The sequence below is a fragment of the Homo sapiens genome, assembly GCF_000001405.40.
Source record: "Homo sapiens chromosome 15 unlocalized genomic scaffold, GRCh38.p14 Primary Assembly HSCHR15_RANDOM_CTG1".
Classification (NCBI taxonomy): Eukaryota; Metazoa; Chordata; class Mammalia; order Primates; family Hominidae; genus Homo; species Homo sapiens.
In genome coordinates, this window is record NT_187382.1 from 122,410 (window position 1) to 144,805 (window position 22,396).

At 42.9% G+C, this 22,396-nt stretch overlaps 1 protein-coding gene and 1 pseudogene across 1 annotated transcript in view; both read right to left on the reverse strand.

Annotated features, from left to right (window-relative positions):
- Nucleotides 1-9,609, reverse strand: part of LOC102723478 (coxsackievirus and adenovirus receptor-like) — a 32,178-nt pseudogene extending 22,569 nt beyond the window's left edge.
- A 578-nt stretch (nucleotides 9,610-10,187) lies between these two features.
- The window catches only part of LOC102723502 (POTE ankyrin domain family member B-like), a 34,751-nt gene continuing 22,542 nt past the window's right edge, over nucleotides 10,188-22,396 (reverse strand). The window contains exons 10-11 of the mRNA NM_001395469.1: nucleotides 15,667-15,790; nucleotides 10,188-13,982 (exon numbers count right to left, since the gene is read on the reverse strand). Coding sequence (NP_001382398.1) covers nucleotides 13,770-13,982; nucleotides 15,667-15,790 — 337 coding nt within the window. The 3' untranslated portion in view covers nucleotides 10,188-13,769. The remainder of the gene's footprint in view (nucleotides 13,983-15,666; nucleotides 15,791-22,396) is intronic.

Below are 22,396 nucleotides of genomic sequence, written 5' to 3' on the forward strand. Positions count from 1 at the left end.
TAGTTTAATTAAATCATACTTGTCAATTTTTATTTTTCTGGCAATTGCTTTTGAGGACTTACCCATAAATTCATTGCCAAGTGCAATGTCCAGGTGAATATTTCCTAGGTTTTCTTCCAGGATTTTTATAGGCAGAGGATGTAATCTCATGTCAATGGGTCTTAATAATCAAATGACTCCACACTGAGAATCATTACTGTGAAAAATCGATTTTGTTATAATGATAGAAATTTAAACATATAAAAGTAAAAACAGATGCCACCTCTTTGCTAGAACTCTACAAGGCAAATTACTATAAGAGAGCCATTGCAGTGAAATAAGTGAAAGCACATTATAAATAAACTTACCTGATTTTACAAACTAACCTGTAAAGGGATTTGTACTAATTTTTCCATTGCCTGCATTGCCCTTTCTTCTAGATCCAATTTATATTTTTGTACTTCACCAATGTGTCTTCACCAATGTGTACTTTCCATACGTTTTTTAAGATTTAATATTACTTTTTCCAACATCTTTTTAGCCTCCTCAAGATTTTTACATTCCTGTTGTATTTTTTCATACATAATAACTCCTGTTGAATACCTTGATTGTTTTGAGTCAAACAGACATATTTTGAAGATACAGCTTCCAGCTCTGCTGTAAGATCATCAAACTACATTAATAAAATAATATAACTTGAAAATGAAGTAGGCTGAGAATAATCTCATACAAAACCAGTAACAAATTTTGAAATACATTTACTTGCAATAAAATGTTATCTATAATGTAGATTCTTTAAATGTTAACCCTTAAATTACTCAGAAATTCAAGAACAAAGTAAAAGCCACCATAAGTCACATATATTCTTTACTATCATCTTTGCCACAGAACTTTTGCACTTGATCTTTCTTTTACTTTTCTGATAATTTGTGTTTTTTCCTCCTTAAATGGCTCTATGTTAACTCTTATTAGAAAGTTTCAAACCCCTTTCTCTCATCATCGTGCCCCAAAATTTGTCAAAAAAAGTTTCAGAGATATAATATTGAGTTATTTAGGCCAAAGTCAATAAATGGCTCTTAGAATAAGACTTTGAAAATAATGTAATACTCTATGCTAGGCATGGTGGCTCATGCCTGTAATCCCAGCACTATAGGAGGCTGTGGCAGAAAGATTACTTGAGGCCAGGAATTTGAAACCAGCCAGAGCAACATAGTGATAACATAATCTCGACAAAAAATTTTATTTAAAATTAACCAGGCATGGTGACTTATGCTTGTAGATCCAACTAGTTGGGAGACTAAGGCACAAGGATGGCTTGGACTCAGAGTTCATGGCTGCAGTGAATTATGACCAAGCCACTCCACTTCTGCCTGGATGACAGACAGAGACCATATCTCAAAAAAACACAAAATAATCCTATAAATAAGGATTCTAATGCCATAAGCCTTTCCCTAGGCTGTAAATGTTTTATGCTAATTTGAATTGCATTTTTAAAAGTAATGACTCTTGGGGTAGAGGCCATAGAATACAGCACCCAGATATAAATCCACATATTTGCCTTACAAGAAATAAATCCACATTCTTGCCTTACAAGAGCTCCTGAAGGAAGCACTAAACATGGAAAGGGACAAACAGTATGAGCCACTGGGAAAACATACCAAATTGTAACGACCATCGACACTATAAAGAAACTGCATTAACTAATGGGAAAAATAAACAGCTAACAACATCATGACAGGATAAATTTCACATGTAACAATATTAACCTTAAATGTAACTGGGCTAAATGCCCCAGTAAAAAGACACAGACTGGCAAGTTGGAAAAAGACTCAAGACCCATTGGTGTGCTGTATTCAGGAGACCCATCTCACATGCAAAGACACACACAGGCTCAAAATAAAGGGACGGAGGAATATTTACCAAGCAAATGAAAAGCAAAAAAAAAAAAAAAAAAAAAAAAAAGCAGGGGTTGCAATCCTAGTCTCCGATAAAACAGACTTTAAATGGAAAAGATCAAAAGAGACAAAGGGCATTACAAAGCAGTGCCATCTGCTTTTCCTCAGGACTCTGCTCCATCAGCCATCAGGTGGCAGCCATTCAGGCTGTTGGAACCTGGCCATCCATGCTTCTTTGAGTGGGTGAGATTAAAGGCTGGTCCAACTGCACCAGGAGCATGCTTGCAGAGGTGGCTGCTTGCTCTTTGAGCCAGCTTGGCTTTGCCTGGCATGCACAGGCCCCAGCTACTGACAAGCTGCTCTGAGTGAGCTTGTCCTGCCTGGGGCCAAATTCTAAGTCTGGCCAGGGCCACAGAAGGGCAAGTCCCCTGGGTGGTAATCCTGACTTTTTTCTGCACTTGAACATAAAGTCCTCCTCAAGACGGCCTGTGGTCTGCCTCTTGGCAACCAAGAAGCCTGCAGTGCCATATAAGCTCGGAGGCATGGACTAGAGCCCCAAAGGCAGTGAACACCCTGCTCCTGAGCCTGCTGCTCATTTCCTCTGTGTGGCTCCATTTGTAGCACAGTTGTTGTACTGAGGCTTGTGCATGCTGGGCAAGGACAAGCTGGCTCAAAGAGGAACCAGCCACTTCTGCAAGGGTGTGCCAGGAGCAGGTAGACCAGCCACCAACCTCACTCACTGCCTGCCAGACATGGCACATCAGTTCTTCTACCCTAGAGGTAGGGCCCCAGTGCCATCTGCTTTTTCTGAGGCCTCTGCTCCATCAGCCATCAGGTGGCAGCCACACAGGCTGTGGGAACCTGCCTATCCTTGCTTCCTTGAGTAGCAGAGGTTGGTGGCTGCTCTACCTGCTCCCGGTGCACCCCTGCAAAGGTGGCTGGTTGCTCTTTGAGCCAGCTTGGCCTTGCCTGGCATGCAGAGGCCCCAGCTACTGACATGCTCCTCTGAGTGAGCTTGTCCTGCCTTGGCCCAAATTCTAAGTCTGGTCAGGTCCACAGAAGGCAGAGTCCCCTGGGTGGTAATGCTGGCTGCTTTCTGCATTTGAACACAAAGTCCTCCTCCAGACGACCTGTGGTCTGCCCCTTGGCAATGAAGAAGCCCGCAGTGCCATATGAGCCCTGAGGCATGGACTGGAGCCCCAAAGGCAGTGCACACCGTGCTCCTGATCCTGCTGCTCATTTCCTCTCTGTGGCTCCATTTGTAGCACAGTTGTTGCACTGAGGCTTGTGCATGCCGAGCGAAGCCAAGCTGGCTCAAAGAGGAACCAGCCACCTCTGCAAGGGTGTGCCAGGAGCCGGTGGAGCAGACACTAAACTCACTCGCTGCCGGTTGGGGCACATCAGTTCTTCTCCCATAGAGGTCGGGCCCCAGTGCCATCTGCTTTTCCTCAGGCCTCTGCTCCATCAGTCTCCAGGTGGCAGCCACTCAGACTGTTGGAACCTGGCCATCCATGCTTCCTTGTGTGGGTCAGTTTGATGGCTGCTACATCTGCTCCAGGCACACCCTTGCAGAGGTGGCTGGTTGCTCTTTGAGACAGCTTGGCCTTGCCTGGCATGCACAGGCTCCAGCTACCGATACGCTGCTCTGAGTGAGCTTGTCCTGCATTAGGCAAAATTCTAAGTCCGGTCAGGGCCACAGAAGGCAGAGTCCCCTGGGTGGTAATCCTGGCTGCTTTCTGCACTTGAACATAAAGTCCTCCTCAAGATGGCCTGTGGTCTGCCTCTTTGCAACCAAGAAGCCCACAGAGCCATACTAGCCCGGAGGCATTGACTGGAGCCCCAAATGCAGCACACACCCTGCTCCTGAGCCTGCTGCTCTGTTTTCTCTGTGTGGCCCCATTTGTAGCACAGTTGTTGTACTGAGGCTTGTGCATGCTGGGCAAGGCCAAGCTGGCGCAAAGAGAAACCAGCCACCTCTGCAAGGGTGTGCCAGGAGCAGGAGGACCAGCCACCAACCTCGCTCACAGCTGGTCGGTGTACATCACTTCTTCTACCCAAGAGGTAGAGCCCCAGTGCCATCTGCTTTTCCTCAGGCCTCTGCTCCATCAGCCATCAGGACGCAGACATGCAGGCTGTGGGAACCTGGCCATCCCTACTTCCTTGAGTGGGTGAGGTTGGTGGCTGCTCCACCTGCTCCAGGTGCACCCTTGCAGAGGTGGCTGGTTGCTCTTCGAGCCACCTTGGCCTTGCCTGGCATGCACAGGACCCAGCTACTGATACACTGCTCCGAGTGAGCTTGCCCTGCCTGGGGCCAAATTCTAAGTCTGGCCAGGGCCACAGAAGGCAGAGCCCCTGGGTGGTAATACTGGCTGCTTTCTGCATTTGAACATAAAGTCCTCCTCAAGATGGCCTGTGGTCTGCATCTTGGCAACGAAGAAGCCCACAGTGCCACACGAGCCCTGAGGCATGGACTGGAGCCCCAAAGGCAGCGCACACCCTGCTCCTGAGCCTGCTGCTCGTTTCCTCTATGTGGCTCCATATGTAGCACAGTTGTCGCACTGAGGCTTGTGCATGCCAGGCAAGGCCAAGCTGGCTCGAAGAGTAACCAGCCACCTCTGCAAGGGTGTGCCAGGAGCAGATGGACCAGCCACCAACCTCACTCACTGCCGGTCAGGGTACATCACTTCTTCTACCCTAGATGTAGGGTCCCAGTGCCATCTGCTTTTCCTCAGGCCTCTGCTCCATCAGCCATCAGGAGGCAGCCACTCAGGTTGTTGGAATCTGGCCATCCCTGCTTCCTTGAGTGGGTGATGTTGGTGGCTGCTCCACCTGCTCCTGGAGCACCCTTGCAGAGGTGGCTTGTTGCTCTTTGAGACAGCTTGGCCATGCCTTTCATGCACAGGCTCCAGCTACTGACACGCTGCTCTGAGTGTGCTTGTCCTGAGTTAGGCCAAATTCTAAGTCCGGTCAGGGCCACAGAAGGCAGAGTCCCCTGGGTGGTAATCCTGGCTGCTTTCTGCACTTGAACATAAAGTCCTCCTCAAGATGGCCTGTGGTCTGCCTCTTTGCAACCAAGAAGCCCACAGAGCCATACTAGCCCGGAGGCATTGACTGGAGCCCCAAATGCAGCACACACCCTGCTCCTGAGCCTGCTGCTCTGTTTTCTCTGTGTGGCTCCATTTGTAGCACAGCTGTTGCACTGAGGCTTGTGCATGCTGGGCAAGGCCAAGCTGGCGCAAAGAGAAACCAGCCACCTCTGCAAGGGTGTGCCAGGAGCAGGTGGACCAGCCACCAACCTCACTCACAGCTGGTCGGTGTACATCACTTCTTCTACCCAAGAGGTAGAGCCCCAATGCCATCTGCTTTTCCTCAGGCCTCTGCTCCATCAGCCATCAGGATGCAGCCATGCAGGCTGTGGGAACCTGGCCATCCCTACTTCCTTGAGTGGGTGAGGTTGGTGGCTGCTCCACCTGCTCCAGGTGCACCCTTGCAGAGGTGGCTGGTTGCTCTTTGAGCCAGCTTGGCCTTGCCTGGCATACACAGGCCCCAGCTACCGACATGCTGCTCTGAGTGAGCTTGTTCTGCTTTGGCCCAAATTTTATCTCTGTCCAGGGCAGAGTCCCCTGGGTGGTAATCCTGCCTACTTTCTGCACTTGAATATCAAGTCCTCCTCAGGATGGCCTGTGGTCTGCCTCTTTGCAACGAAGAAGCCCGCAGTGCCACACGAGCCCTGAGGCATGGACTGGAGCCCCAAAGGCAGCACACACCCTGCTCCTGAGCCTGCTGCTCATTTCCTCTCTGTGACTCCATACCTAGCACAGATGTTGCACTGAGGCTTGTGTATGCCAGGCAAGGCCAAGCTGGCTCAAAGAGCAACCAGCCACCTCTGCAAGCGTGTGCCAGGAGCCGGTGGAGCAGCCACCAAACTCACTTGTTGCAGGTCAGGGCACATCAGTTCTTCTACCCTAGAGGTAGGGCCCCAGTGCCATCCGCTTTTCCTCAGGCCTTTGCTCCATCAGCCATCAGGAGGCAGCCATTCAGGCTGTGGGAACTTGGCCATCCCTACTTCCTTGAGTAGCTGAGGTTGGTGGCTGCTCCACATGTCCCAGGTGCACCCTTGCAGAGGTGACTGGTTCCTATTTGAGTCAGCTTGGCCTTGCCTGGCATGCATAGTCTCCAGCTACTGACATGCTGCTGTGAGTGAGCTTGTCCTGCCTTGGCCCAAATTCTAAGTCTGGTCAGGGCCACAGAACGCCAAGTCCCCTGGGTGGTAATCCTGCTGCTTTCTATACTCGAACATAAAGTCCTCCTCAAGACAGCCTGTGGTCTGCCTCTTGGCAACCAAGAAGCCCGCAGTGACATATGAGCCCTGAGCCATGGACTGGAGCACCAAAGGCAGTGTACACCCTGCTCCTGAGCCTGCCTCTAATGTCCTCTGTGTGGTTCCATTTGTAGAACAGTTGTTGCACTGAGACTTGTGCATGCTGGGCAAGGCCAAGCTGGCTCAAAGAGCAACCAGCCACCTCTGCAAGGGTGCACCTGGAGCATGTGGACCAGCCACCAACCTCACTTGCTGCCAGACATGGTACCTCAGTTATTCTACCCTAAAGGTAGGGCCCCAGTGCCATCTGCTTTTCCTCAGGCCTCTGCTCCATCAGCCATCAGGTGGCAGCCACTCAGGCTGTGGGAACCTGGCCATCCCGGCTTTGTTGAGGGGGTGAGATTGGTGGCTGGTCCAACTGCTCTAGGCACACCCTTGCAGAGGTGGCTGGTTGCTCTTTGAGCCAGCTTGGCTTTGCCTGGCATGCACAGGCCCCAGGTACTGACACGCTACTCTGAGTGAGCGTGTCATGCCTGGGGCCAAATTCTAAGTCTGGCCAGGGTCACAAAAGGCTGAGTCCCCTAGGTTGTAATCCTGGCTGCTTTCTGCACTTGAACATAAAGTCCTCCACAAGATGGCCTGTGATCTGCCTCTTGGCAACCAAGAAGCCCACGGTGCCTTATGAGCCCTGAGGCATGGACTGGAGCCCCAAAGGCAGTGTACACCCTGCTCCTGAGCCTGCTGGTCATTTTCTGTGTGGCTCCATTTGTAGCACAGTTGTTGCACTGAGGCTTGTGAATGCCAGGCAAGGCCAAGCTGGCTCAAAGAGCAACCAGCCACCTCTGCAAGGATCCACCTGGAGCAGGTGGACCAGCCACCAACCTCACCCACTTAAGGAAGCAGGGAATGTGTGTTTGTACCATGCATTGCACTACAAGTACATTTCTCCTGAGTTTGGTGGCCTAGGTTTTCTTCTAGGTTTTCTATGGTTTTAGGTCTTAAGTTTAACTCTTCAATCCATCGTAAGTTAATTTTTGTATAAAGTGTAAGGAAGTGGCCCAGTTTCAGTTTTCTGCGTATGGCTAGCCAGTTTTCCTAACACCATTTATTGAATAAGGAATCCTTTCCCCATTGCTTGTTTTTGTCAGGTTTGTCAAAGATCAGATGGTTTTAGATGTGTTGTGTCATTTCTGAGGCCTCTGTTCTGTTCCATTTGTCTATATATCTGGTTTGGTACCAGTACCATGCTGTTTTGGTTACTGTAGCCTTGTAGAATAGTTTGAAGTCAGGTACCGTGATGCCTCCAGCTTTATTGTTTTTGCTTAGATTGTCTTGGCTACGCGAGCTCTTTTTTGGCTCCATATGAAATTTAAAGTAGTGTTTCTAATTGTGGGAAGAAAGTCAATGGTAGCTTCATGGAGATAGCACTGATTCTATAAATTACTTTGGGAGATATGGCATTCAGGCACAGAAATGTCCTTGTGTTAGGCAATACCATTCAGGACATAGGCATAGGCGAAGACTTCATCACTAGAACACCAAAAGCGATGGCAACAAAAGCCAAAATTGACAAATGGGATCTAATTAAACTAAAGAGTGTCTGCACAGCAAAAGAAACTATCATCAGAGTGAACAGGCAACCCTCAGAAAGGGAGAAAATTGTTGCAATCTATCCATCTGACAAAGGGCTAATATGCAGAATCTATAAAAACTTAAACAAATTTACAAGAAAAAAACAAACAACCCCATCAAAAAGTGGGCAAAGGATATGAACAGACACTTCCCAAAGGAGACATTTATGCAGCCAATGAACATGTGAAGCAAAGCACTGGTCATTAGAGAAATGGAATTCAAAACCATAATGAGATACAATCTTACGCCACTTGGAATGGCCATCATTAAAAAATCAGGAAACAACAGAAGCTGGAGAGGATGTGGAGAAATAGGAATGCTTTTACACTGTTGGTGGGAGTATAAATCAGTTCAACCATCGTGGAAGACAGTGTGATGATTCCTCAATGATCTACAACTAGAAATACCATTTGACCCAGCAATCCCATTACAGTGTATATACTCAAAAAAATATAAATCATTCCAATATAAAGACACATGCACACGTATGCTTATTGCGGCAGTGTTCACAACAGGAAAGACTTGGAACCAACCCAAATGCCCACCAATGATAGACTGGATAAAGAAAATGTGGCATATATACACCATGGAATACTATGCAGTCATAAAAAAGGATGAGTTCATATCCTTTGCAGGGACATGGATGAAGCTGGAAACTGTCATTCTCAGCAAACTAACACAAGAAGAGAAAACCAAACACCACATGATCTCACTCATAAGTAGGACCTGAACAATGAGAACACATGGACACAGGAAGGGAAACATCACACACAAGGGCCTGTCAGGGTGGGGGGCTAGAAAAGGGATGGCATTAGATCATGGGTTGGTGCATGCAGCAAGCCACCATAGCATGTGTATACGTATGTAACAAACCTGCATGTTCTGCACATGTACCCCAGAACTTAAAGTATAATTAAAAAAAAATAAATTTGCTTTTAATTAAGCTTTTCAACATAGAACTTGTAAAGAAAATACTTCTGAATCTTTTACTACCACATCATAGCTGGGACAAACTGCTGATATTTTAAAAGTAACACAAATATCAAACAGAAAGAACTAGACTTAGGAACCAAACTCAGGTTTCTGTAGTGAACAGGGCAGAATCTTAACTTTGGGTCGCCACCACTACTCCCTCAGTTTGGCCTTGGCTAGCAAAAGATGCAACCACTTATGCAAAAAATAAAAATAAAAAAGTTAAAAAAATCATTTCTGCTAACTGGAATTTTTTTTTTTTTTTTTTGCAGCCACATGAGTTTTAGCCAATTCAGAAGCCTTGTTCCCCACAATTTGGAGCATTCTTTGGATTTGACCAAGTCAGGAAGAGATGGGAGAAAAGTGAAACAACAACAACAAAACCCCAAACATAAACAAACAAAAAGAGTTAAGCAAAACAAACAAATGCACAATTCATATGATTACTGAGTGTTCTAATGGTAACGAGAAATTAAAAGCAGCTGGTGAGTAATCTTAAATTTTAGTCATTAAGGAAAAATTTTAAGACAAAACTCTAATTCAGCTACTTACCTGGAAATAAGTCTCAGGCTGGTGATTGTTCTCTGCCATCTTAGAAGCTGGAAAAAACTTACACTCACCTTCCCTGTCAGAAGCAAGCTGAAACTCAAGAAAGGAGGTGCCTGCTCTCCATCATCACGGAAGCAGGAAAACTTGCCTTGTTGGAAATAAGTAAAACTTCAGAAAAGGAGTTGTATAGCAAAATCAACCTTAGATCTCAACCAAATTTTGGGAGATCAGGGATTCTCTGCAGGGGAGAAGCTCCCTAACCTCAGCACATTATCCTATTGGTTTGGGCAATAAAGATAGCCCAGGTTGGTATCAAGCAATAATGAGATTTATCAAAGGTCAGGACCACCTTTGTAATCTCCTTCTCTCTTTTTTTTTTTTTTTTTTTTTTTTTTGAGACGGAGTCTCACTGTCTCGCCTGGGCTGCAGTGCAGTGGCACGATCTTGGCTCACTGCAAGCTCCACTTCCCAGGTTCACACCATTCTCCTGCCTCAGCCTCCCAAGTAGCTGGGACTACAGGCACCCGCCACCATGCCCAGCTAATTTTTTGTATTTTTCGTAGAGACGGGGTTTCACCGTGTTAGCCAGGATGGTCTCGATCTCCTGACCTTGTGATCCATCTGTCTCAGCCTCCGAAAGTGCTGGGATTACAGGCGTGAACCACCGCGCCCAGCCCTCTGTCTTTTTTTTTTTTTTTAATCTTTATTGGTATAGTCTGCTTTGTCAGAAACTAGGAGTGCAACACCTGCTTTTTTCTATTTTCCATTTCCTTGAAATATTTTTCTCCATTCCTTTATTTTGAGCCTATGTAGGGCACTGCATGTGAGATGGGTTTCTTGAAGACGGCATACTCCAATGGGTCTTGGTTCTTTATCCAGCTTGCCCCCTGTGTCTTTCAATTGGAGCATTTAGCCCATTTCCATTTAAGGTTAGTAATGGTATGTGTGGATTTGATCCTGTCGTCATGCTGTCAGCTGGCTTTTTTGCAGACTTATGTATGTGGTTGGTTTTTAGCATCACTTGTCTGTGTACTTCAGTGTGTTTTTGTAGTGGCTGGTGGTGGTCTTTTCTTTCCATATTTAGTGCTTCCTTCAGGAGCTCTTGTAAGGTAGGTCTGGTGATAATGAATTCCCTCAGCATTTGCTTGTCTGAAAAGGATCTTGTTTCTCCTTCACTTATGATGCTTAATTTTGCTGGACATGAAATTCTGGGTTGAAATTTCTTTTCTTTAAGATGTTGAATATCTTTTCTGGCTTGTACAGTTTCAGTTGAGAGGTCTGCTAAGTCTGATGGAATTCCCTTTGCAGGTGATGTTGCCTTTCTCCCTAGCTGCCTTTAACACTTTTTCTTTTATTTTGACCGCAGAGAATCTGATGATTATGTGTCTTGGGGATGATCTTCTCATGGCATATCTTACTGAGGTTCTCTGGATTTCCTGAAGTTGAGTGTTGGCCTGTCTGGCTAGGTTGGGGACATTCTCATGAATGATATTCTGAAATGTGTTTTCCAAGTTGGTTCCATTCTCCTCATCTCCTTCAGGTACATTAATCAGTCATAGATTTAGTCGTTTATATAATCCCATATTTCTCGGATGTTTTCTTCATTCCCTTTCATTCTTTTTTCCCCCATTCTTGTTTGCCTGTTTTATTTCAGAAAGCCAGTTTCCAGGCTCTGGGATTCTTTCCTCTTCTTGGTCTATTCTGTTGGATGGTCTTGCACATGAGATGGAGCTGGTCTGACCTCAGCCCTCCCTAGTCTGCTTGCCTCTCCCAGGACCCCAGCCTGGCCACATCTGCTTACAGGGCACTCTCATGTGCCCACACATACTACAATAATTTTCATAATGCAATCACACACAATCACCATGTGACTGCATTATGAAAATTCTTCTAGTGTGATTTACAGCTCTGTCAGGTCAGTTATTTTCTTCTTTATACTTGCTATTTTGTCTGTTAGTTCCTGCAATGTTTTACAATGATTTTTAGCTTCCTTGTATTGGATTACAACATACTTCTTTCACTCAGGGAACTTTGTTCCTACCCATATCCTGAACTCTGCTTGTATCATTTCAGACATCTCAGCCTCAGCCCAGTTCTGAACACTTGCTGGAGAGTTGATGCAGTCATTTGGAGAAAAGAAAGCATGCTGAATTTTTGAGTTTTCAGTGTTCTTGCACAGAGTCTTTTTCTCATCTTTATGGGCTTATCCACCTTCAATCTTTGAGGCTGCTGACCTTTGGACAGGGTATTTTTCCTTTATTATATCTGATGACCTTGAGGATTTGATTGTGGTGTAAGGTGGATTCAGCCAACAGGTTTTGTCTTTGGAGGATTTTAAGGGGCCAACATGCAGCTCCCAATTCTTGGACTGTGTGCTTTAACTCTGGGGAACTTGTATTGGGCCACAACTTTGTTCTCTGGCTCCTCGAGGTTTGGAGTCCACCGCACTGAGGGGACCAAAGTGCGGCAGCTGTGGCAGAATGCTAGCAGATGCAAAAGTCCCTGCCTCCCTGTGGGCATTCACCTAGTGGTGGAGGCAAAACAGCTGGGGTGTGGGCCAGGGGGCCCCTGCTGACTGTGTGTGCTGTTGCACTGGAGGTAGTTCTGGTTTGGGGTGGGTGGCTGGCCAGTGAAGGTGCCTTCTCTGATCCCCCCCAAGCAACAGTGGTCACTCAGGGTATAAGAAGGTCCCTTTTCCTCTGCACAGCATTACCTCAAGGGTGAGATGCTAGCAGGGGTGGGGTTTTTGGTTCTGTGCCCACCATGGCTTCATCTTCAGTGGCAGTTGGTGTGGGTTGGGGTGTGTGCTGCATTCCCATATGCTGTTAGGGCAAGTACAACAAAACCCACCTGTGTAAACACACACAGCTAAGTGATGTAGGAAGTTTCCATATAAAGGGCTGCAGTATGGAGAGGTAATGTGTAGGCTGGTACGTGGCTGTAGAGGTCACCTTGCTGCAGCTCTCCACTGATCAGCCACGGTCCGCTTGTACAGAAGCTATGGTGTGGGCACCCAGAAGTGCCCTCTAAGCAGGTGTGGCCTGGCTGGGGTCCTGGGAGAGGCAAGCAGACTAAGGGGTGCTGAGGTCAGACCAGCCCCATCTCATGTGCAAGACTGCCCAGCAGAGATCAGGTCTCAGAGGAGAACTCTCTCAAAAGTGAATCCTCAGCACAGCACAACTGCTCTACACAAACGCGGCCAGACTTCTTTTTTAAGCAAGTCCCCCTTTTTAGGAAGAGAACTCTTAGACCTGATCTGTGCTGGGCAATCTTGCACGTGAGATGGGGCTGGTCTGACCTCAGCACTCCTTAAGTGCTGGGATAAAGTGTCTCATAAGAGCAAGTGGAGCCTAGAGACATAGATGTCCCTGCCCTCCGGGCTCCACATCAGCTGACTTGCTGCTCCACCACTTTCCTTGTCTCCTGGGGGCTACACCCCAGAGAGGTGTAAGTTAGGAGTTACTTAATGTAATCACCCCAGGATGGAGGGTCTGTGCTGTGGGCCCAAGCCAGGGTTCCTTGTCTGGTGATGAGCAGTAAGGAGTGTGTTGTACCCGTGGAAGGTGGACTGACTTGTTCCTTGTGTCAACTGCAGCTTGTTGGAGGTGTCAATATGGCACTTAGGGTCTTTGCTCCCTTGATATTCTGAGGGTAGCAAGGGCAGTTCCACTGCAGAGGCAGTGGCAGAGAGGATTTCTGTTGCTCCTGGAAGCTCTGTCCAGGGAGTTGCTGAGTTGCTACTGGCTTGAAGGCTCAAGTGGGGGGCTGGCTGGAGACCCAGGCCAGGAAGACCTGCCCATCATGGCCCACCCCTCTCTCTGGGAACTCTGTCCCAGGAAGGTTTCAAATCTCCATTGGCCAGGGAACACTGGTGGGTGTAGCTGGAGGCCTCAGGTGGGAGATCCTGTCCAGTGATGAGGAACAGGATCAGGGGCCTGCTTACAGAAGCATTCTGGCCATGATTTGGTAAAGCAGCTGTGCTATGCCACAGGATCTCTTCTGTCCCTGGTGAGTTTGTACTCTCCAAAGCCCGCACGCTGGAATGACTAAGTTGCCCAAACAGGAAAGATGGTGGCCTGCCTCATCTTTTCTCTCAGAATTTATCCTGTGTGATGGAGCTTAATTTTTAGGTTGTTAATTTTACTGTCAGCGTTAGAGTTGTTCAGAAAGAATCTCACTGTTATCTTTTAGGTGAGATATATAAGAATTCATTTTCTCCTGTAAATAAACCTGTTGATGTTTGCTCTCTGGAAAGAAGTCCCTTTCAGCTATCTGACTTTGATCACAATCATGTAGAGCAGTAGTCAGTCTACAATGACATGATTGAATTTCCATTTCCAGTGTTTCCTAGCTGTGTCTTACATTCTCCAGTTCAGAACTGAGCATTCTCAGTTGTCAAAATCCTAAGCTGTCCACTGTACTTAAATACTGGTTTTCGTTAATGCTTCTTCATTCAGTTGTATAGCCTTTAGAAGTTTTTCTTTTACACTTTCAATTTCCTCCAAAATTTTATTTTCCCTTAGCTGGTTCTGATGTTTTGTTTCATCTAGTTCCAGTCTTAGCATGGCAATTTCTTCCCGCAACATGCTGTTTTCACGCAAGAGATCTTCTTCTTTCTTATGACTAAGAGAAAGCTAAGTAAACAAAGGGAACTTTTAGTTAGCACTCAATAGAATGACATATCATGATTTCTTCTAAAATCAAAGAATGACATTTATATTTCTATAATGAAATAATTCCCATAGTGGATATTTAACTGGAAAAAAGTTGGACAAAACTTCAAATCTAGAAGAGTGTAAATTCCAAAAAGTTGAAATATTTATCTAAAGACCATGAAAAATAAATCACTAGAGGATTTTTAAGAATTTCAGAATTGGAAAAGCCTTTCTCTGAATTACAAAAAACCCAGAGGCATAAAATAGAAGATTAATACATTTGGCTACATTTTTTAAATTGGGTTTACACTCTGATATCTAACCTACAAACCACACCATCATAAGAGCCTTAGCTATGCATATATTAGGACAGAAGCAATTCCTCAAAGTTCTTTAAGTTCCTTTTTCTGAGGAATGTTTTATCAATATACTGCTTTTCTAATATTTTTACAGTCAGTTATAAGAATTACATTTATTCATAACTGTTAAATCTAAGCATTGTACCCTTCTACAATGTACACACCGGCATCTAAGCATTGCACTTCTACATACAACACTCAACTCATTTAAGATCACGATTCTTAAAAGGAGAGATCAAAAAATATATGCAGCCAGGACCAGTGGCTCACACCTGTAATCCCAGCACTTCAGGAGGCTGAGGCAGGAGAATCGTGTGAACCTGGGAGGCAGAGGTTGCAGTGAACTGAGTTTGTGCCATTGCACTCCAGCGTGGGTGACAGTGCAAGACTCCATCTAGAATACACACACACACACACACACACACACACATATATATATGCAACGTGCAAGATTTTTGCCAGGTCTTCTGATGCTACTGTTAGTGATCCTCCACAAAATCAGTTGCTTCTGTGGTGTAAATATATAAATACAAAAGAAGCCTTTTATTTCAAAATACAGATGGTAAATAAGATATAACTTACAAGGCTTTTCTTAGAAATCATGAGATTATTTGCCATTGCAATAACTTTTCTTTCCTCTTCATAATGTTTGAAACATTATAGTAGTAAGTGTGAAATACGGGAAACGTACTGAACTATTCATCTGGGAACAAAATACTTATCAATAAATTATCACTAAATGTGTATCATGGCATGTCATTGTTTTCAAAGCTCTTTGCATTGAATTGAGAAACTACTCGGAGCAAACTGTTCCTCTCCTCAAAAGCAAGGATAATGACATCCACAATGTGGCCTCTGACCCAGCTGTACATTTCCTACTTTCCTATTAGTGAAAATAACAAACTGACTTCTCTATTAATATTTTAAAAAGAACTAATGTCCCAAAACTAGCAAATCTGTTGTTAGTAGCAAAACTTATTTTTGATATTGGAAAGATAATCAATTCTTATGAAAAATATCAAATGCTTTTCCTTTGGATTGAGGCCATTGTGAAGGTCACTACTCGACTGTTGCAGGCAAATGCAGTTGAATTAAGAACATGGCTTTATCCTATGTGTACATATATAGATATATGACCAAGGATATACAGGGTGTGTGTGTGTGTGTGTGTGTGTATATACACACACACACACACACACACGTGTGTATATATATGATTTAAAAATCCTTTATACCTTCCAAAATAAAGCTTTTTAAAAATATATACACATATGAAAACATTTGATAATGACTAAAGAAAATACCTCAGAATTCATTTCCTTTTCAGCCACTTCTATCTGCTTTTGTTTATTAGTCAGAATCTCATCTTGTGATATTCCAGTGTTCTGTTCTTCAGAAAGTTGTTTCTGGGTATCATTTTGTTCGTCACTAGAAGAAATTTTAATTTTCATGAAATACTGGAGGTGTCCCTAAAATGATCTACAGGGCAAGATGGCACCATCAGATGTCATTCACACAATGTATATCTGCACATTAATCCAAGACAAGGCAAAGGGGCCTCACATCTGTTAACCCTGCTCTCCCAGTCATGTTGGCACCAGGGACTAGTTTTGTGGAAGATAATTTTTCCATGGACCTGAGGTGGGGGATGGTTCCAGGATGATTCAAGCACATTACATACATTGTGCACTTCATTTCTATTATTACTAATATATAATGAAATAATTATATAACTCACCATCATGTAGAATCAGTGGGAGCCCTCAGCTTATTTTCCTGCAACTAGATGGTCTCATCTAGGGGTGACAGGAGATGGTGACAGATCATAAAGCATTAGATTCTCATCAGGAGTGAACAACCTAGATCCCATGCATGAGCAGCTTGCAATAGGGTTCAAGTCACACTCTTATGAGAATCTAATGTCACCGCTGATCTGACAGGAGGAGGAGCTCAGGTGGTAATGTGACAGAGAGTGGCTGTAAACAGATGAAGCTTCACTTGCTCATCTACCACTAACTTCTTGCTGTGTGGCCCAGGTCCTAACAGGCCAGGGACTGGTACTGGTCTGTGGCCTGGGGATTGGAAACCCCTGTGTTAACTCAAACTTTTTACGTTTATTTTTTGGAAACAGTTTCCACTTATATTCTTGATTCCTCTGTAATTTATAGACAAATTAGAAATTCCCTTTGGAACAAGACAGGGTCTAATATTGTGTTTTTAACATAGAACTTTGAATTAATTTTATCTGTGTATGAGAGAGAGATGTGAAATAAACTGATCATTAATCGCTTTCAATTTCACTTTTATTTCATGCATATTAAGAAGAAAACTGGGAAGCCCTAGGCAGAGCAATTGGGCAAGAGAAATAAAGGGCATCCAAATTGGAAAAGAGAAAGTCAAACTCTCTCTTCACCAATGATATGATCTTATGCCTAGAAAACCCTACAGACTCCTACAAAACACTCCTAGATTTGATAAATGAATTTAGTAAAGTCTCAGAGGTTACAAAATATACAAATACCAATGAATAGTACCACTATACACCAACTACAACCAAGCTGAGAGTCATATCAAGAATCCAATCCTTTTTACAATGGCTGCAAAATAGTAAAATACCTAGGAATATACTTAATGAAGGAGGTGAGTGATCTATCAAAGGATAACTGGAAAACGCCACTGAAGAAAATCATAGATCATACAAATAAATGAACATACATTCTATGTTCCTGGACTGAAAGCATTGATATTGTGAAAATGCCATAGTGCCCAAAGTAGTCTACAGAGTCAATACAGTTTCTACCAAAGTACCAATGTCATTCTTCACAGAGTTATTTTAAAAAGCTGTCATTCATGTAGAACCACAAAAGAGCCTGAATAGCAACAGACATACCAAGAAAAAGGAACAAACATGTTGGCATCAAATTACCTGACTTCAACTCTAAGGCCACAGTAACAAACATCATGGTACTGGTATAAAAGTACATACACAGATCAATGGAACAGAATAGACAACTCAGAAAAAAGGCCACTTACAACCAAATGATCTCTGAGAAAGGATACAAAAACATACACTGGAGAAAGTACACGTTATTCAACAAATGGTGCTGGGAAAAAAAGATAGTCACATATAGAAGAATAAAATTGGATCTCTATCTCTCACCATGTAAAAAATTAATTCAAGATGGATTAATGGCCTAAACCTAAGACCAGAAGACATTAGCCTAGGCAAATAATTTATGATGAGGACCCTGAAAGCAAAAGCAACAAAAATAAAAATAAATAAATAAATAAATAAATAAATAAATAAAGACCTAATTAAACTAAAAAGCTTCAGCACAGCAAAAGAAATAATCATCAAAGTGAGCCAACCACCTATACAATGGGGAAAATATGGGCAAATTATGAATCTAACAAAGGATTAATGTCCATAACCTACCAGAAACTCAAACAAATCAGCAGGAAAAATACAAACAATTCCATTAAAAAGTGGGCACATGACATGAATAGACATTTTTCAAAAGAAGATGTACAAATGGTGAACAAGAATATAAAAACATGCTAAATATTACTAATCATCAGGGAAATGTACAATAAAACAACAGTGAGATATCACCTCACTTCAGCCAGAATGGTCACTACTAAAATAAGAAAAACAGCAGATGTTGGTGTGGATGTGGTGAAAAAAGAAGATTTATACACTGCTGGTGGGGATACAAATTAGTACAAATCTATGGAAAACATTATGGAGAGTTCTGTTAAAGTAGATCTTACCATTCTATCCAGCATTCTCATTTCTGGATACCTACCCAAAATAAAAGAAATCATACTCTCAAAAAGACACCTATATACATATGTTTACTGCAGCACAATTCACATATGCAAAGATATGTTATCAGCCAGTGTCCATCAACTGATGAGTGGAATAAAGAAAATTATATATATATATATATATATATATATATATATATATATATATATATGTATGTATGTATGTATACCTGAGACTGGGTAATTCATAAAGGAAAGAGGCTTAATTGATTCACAGTTACACATGGCTGGGAAGGCCTCAGGAAACTTACAATCATGGCAGAAGGTAAAGGGGAAGCAGGCAACTTCTTCAAAAGGTGGCAGGAGAGAGAGAAGTGAAAGGGAAAGAGCCCATTATAGAATTATCTGCTCTTGTGAGAACTCACTATCAAGAGAACAGCATGGAGGAAACCGACCCCATGATCCAATACCTCCCAGCTGGTCTTTCTCTCAACACCTGGGAATTACAATTTGACATGAGATTTGGGTGGAAACACAAAGCGAAACTATTGGGGGGGGTGTATCCTTACTTTTAAAATATCAAAATGTCATTATTTATATTTCAAAAATAGCAATTTTTATTAGTAATGATTTTGTTTGAAAATAAAATGACCTGGTAAATTTTCTTCAATTTTAGCCTAGTATTTAGTCAAAATATAAAAAGCCGAATTTGCCAGCAGAAAACTGTAATTACTTTTAAATGAGGTAAAGATGTATAAGAATATCACTGTTATTGTACTGAGAAGAAAGTGAATGAGAAAAGGAATTTAAAAAGAGAGTATCACTACCATATACATACATGAACTGACAAAGAGACTAAAATCTCCTACTGGAGATTATGTTAGGACTTAAGCAAAAGCTTCTAAAAATACCAAAAACAGAAAGAAAATAATTAATTTTAACGAATAAATTATACAGAGAAATATGTATTTAAAAAAAAGAAAACAGATCTTCCTGAGAGCTATTATTAACCAATTCATCTTGACCAAAATTTTAAAATGAAGTCTACAATTCTGGAATATAAAATACTTTCATTTTGAACATAGTTAATTGAAGGCAACTTTTATACAGAAAATTTTCGGTTAAAGTTGACTCTAACTTAGGAAAGAAATGACTTGTACCAATGGTAACAACAAGCCACCCAAAAGCCAGTATGAAATCTAGTCAATCAATCAATGACCACTGCTCTTGCTCACCAACCAATATCAATGTGAGCAGCTTGCTTCTGAAATACAGCCACGCAGCAGCACCTGCTCCACCAGAATAGACAGTGCCTGACCAGTATTCCTCTTACTATAGGAAGCAAAAAATTCCAACTCTGTATCTTTATTTCAAATACCAAAGGTTCATAATCCCTTGAAAAGAATTTGTAAGTCCATTAAATGTGCCACCCTAATTTTTTTTTTAAATAAAATACTAGTGGCCAGGCGCAGTGGCTCATGCCTGTAATCCCAGCACTTTGAAAGGCCGAAGTGGGTGGATCACCTGAGGTACAGAGTTTGAGACCAGCCTGACCAACAGGGTGAAACCCCATCTCTATTAAAAATACAAATATTAGCCAGGCGTGGTGGCATGCCCCCGTAATCCCAGCTCCTTGGAAGGCTGAGGGAGGAGAAATACATGAACCAGAAGGCGGAGGTTGCAGTGAACTGAGATCATACCACTGAACTCCAGCCTGGGGGATACAGCAAGACTCCATCTCAAAATAAAATAAAATACTAGTAAAGTTTGCAATTCCTCTGACTCAGTTTACCATAATTACAATTATGTTTACTAGTAAAAGAATAAATAGTGAATAACCACAATATTGGGCTTTTCTCTCTAAATAAAAAAATAATATAAAGAATGTAGCTTATTATAAAGAGCCAAAACAATTTTTAAAATGCATGTAATTACTGGGCAAAACTGTTAGAATGAACCATGTCAAACATTTTTAAAGTGAGAATTAATCAAACAATATATCCAGGATAAACTCCATTCACTCATTTAATAAGTATTTATTAGGTAGCTTCATCCAATATGCTAGGCCTTTTTCTAGGCAGTGAGGATATGGTAGTGAAAAATAAAAACCCCATTCATGAGAGTGAGAAAAACACACAATAACAACAGACAGATAAGGCAAAATATACAGTATGTTAGAGGAGAAAAACTAAAGCAGGAAAATGAAATGTTTATGTGTTTCATGGGGAGGGTGGTGGGAAAGTTGGGGTGGTCAGAAAAGTCCCTGCTGAGAAAGGGGATTTTTTTTTCTAATACAAAAAACCTTTTATTTGTATATCAAAGACTCTAAGAAATGACGACATAAGGTTAACGGCATTGATGTCAAGATACAAATGGGTTTGAAGTTAGAGATGTTAAATCACTTTGTTTCACTGAACCTTCCCTTCATTACGTTAGAGAGCATCCCTGGTAGGCACCCAATTGAACCTCAAGCATGACGCGTCTAGGTAGCATGCTGTTCTTCCTCAGAAAGTGGTTGTTCCTTAATGTCTTTCTTTTTACCCTTTTTCCTCTTCTTCTTAGAAAGGGGGTTTTAAATAAAGAACTGAAGGAATGGAAAGAGAAAGCTAGGAGGATAACTGGGGAAAAAGCATTCCAGACACAGGGAACTGCGAATCACAGAGGTGTGCCTGGCATCTTTAAGCACTAGGGGTAGATAAGGGACGGCAAGAGATCAGTTTGGCTGAAGCAGAGCAAGGGAGATAATTAGGAGGAACTTTGACACATACTCCGGGTGAAATGGGAGATAAACAGAAGGGCTGGGGCAGAGGAATGACACAATTTGACTTATGTTTTAAATACATCCACTGAGTTAAGAATTGATGAAAAGGGAAGTTTTTAAAAACCAGGACTATCAATTCCCAGTCTATGACACTCATCTAGACTGCAGATGAGGGTGGCTCAGATGTACAAGATATGACTGACTTCTGGACATATTCTTCAGGTAGACCTGACAAGATTTACTGAGAGATTAGATGTGAGGTGTCAGAGAGAGAGAGAGATGAGTCAAGAATGACACCGAGATATTTGGCAGAGCAACTGGAAGAGTTGCCCTTAACCAAAAATAGGAAAGACTACATGAGGTGCAGATTTCAGGAAGGACATCAGTAGCCCAATTTTGGATCTGACAAGTGTGTGATACCCAATAACTAACCAAATAGAGACGTCAAGTAGGCAGGCTGATATAGAAATCTGGAATTAAGGAGAAAGATCTGAGCTGGAGACATACATTCAGAAATCACTAGCATATACACAGTAGAAAAAGTCACGAGGGGTCAGGTGCAGTGGCTTACACCTGTAATCCCAACAGTTTGTGAGACCAAGGCAGACAGATCCCCTGAGGTCAGGAGTTTGAGACCAGGGTGGCCAACATGGGGAAATGCTGTGTCTACTAAAAATACAAAAATCAGCTGGGCACGGTGGCATGCACCTGTAATGCCAGCTACTCAGGAGGCCGAAGCAGGAGAATTGCTTGAACCCAGGAGGCAGAGGTTGTAGTGAGCCGAGATCACACCACTGAACTCCAGCCTGGGAGGCAGAGTGAAACTCTGTCTCCAAAAAAGAAAAAGAAAAAGTCACGAGAAAGAAGACTGAGGAGTGAGCCCTGGGAAACAACAATGTCCAAAAGGAGAAAGATGAGGAGGAGCAAGCAAAACAGACCATGATGAATGGACTAGAAAGGCAGGAGGAAAAGCCTGAGGGAGTGAGGTCCTGAAAGCCAAGTGAAGATGCCGTTAGGGAGGAGATGCCCTCCATTGGCTCAAATATTGCTGACAGATTAAATAAAATGAGGTGGAAGAAAAGGGCCTAGATTTATTACAGAAAAAAAAAATAGTGATAATCTTGAGGAAAAACAATGCTGGAGGACTGCTGAAATTGAAGACTTACTGGCATGAGATCAAGAGTGAATGAAAAGAAAATTTGAGTTCGTGAGTGTAGACAGTTCTTTTAAGGACATCATACTTAAGAGTCATGGCTGAGAATGTTGTAATTTTCTTCCACAGTCATGGAAAAGTAATAGACAAATAGTTTCAAATTTTACATAAAAGGTGTAGTTTTCAAATTTTATATAACAATTATATATTTTAAAGCTTATAAAAATTATACACATGTGGCATTAAAAATGCCAGACCAAGGTGTTAAATCTTAAAACTATAGAACTAAAAGTTGCCTTGACCATTTCTAGATTACATAAGCTAATTATCATTTTGTTCATGCTTATACATA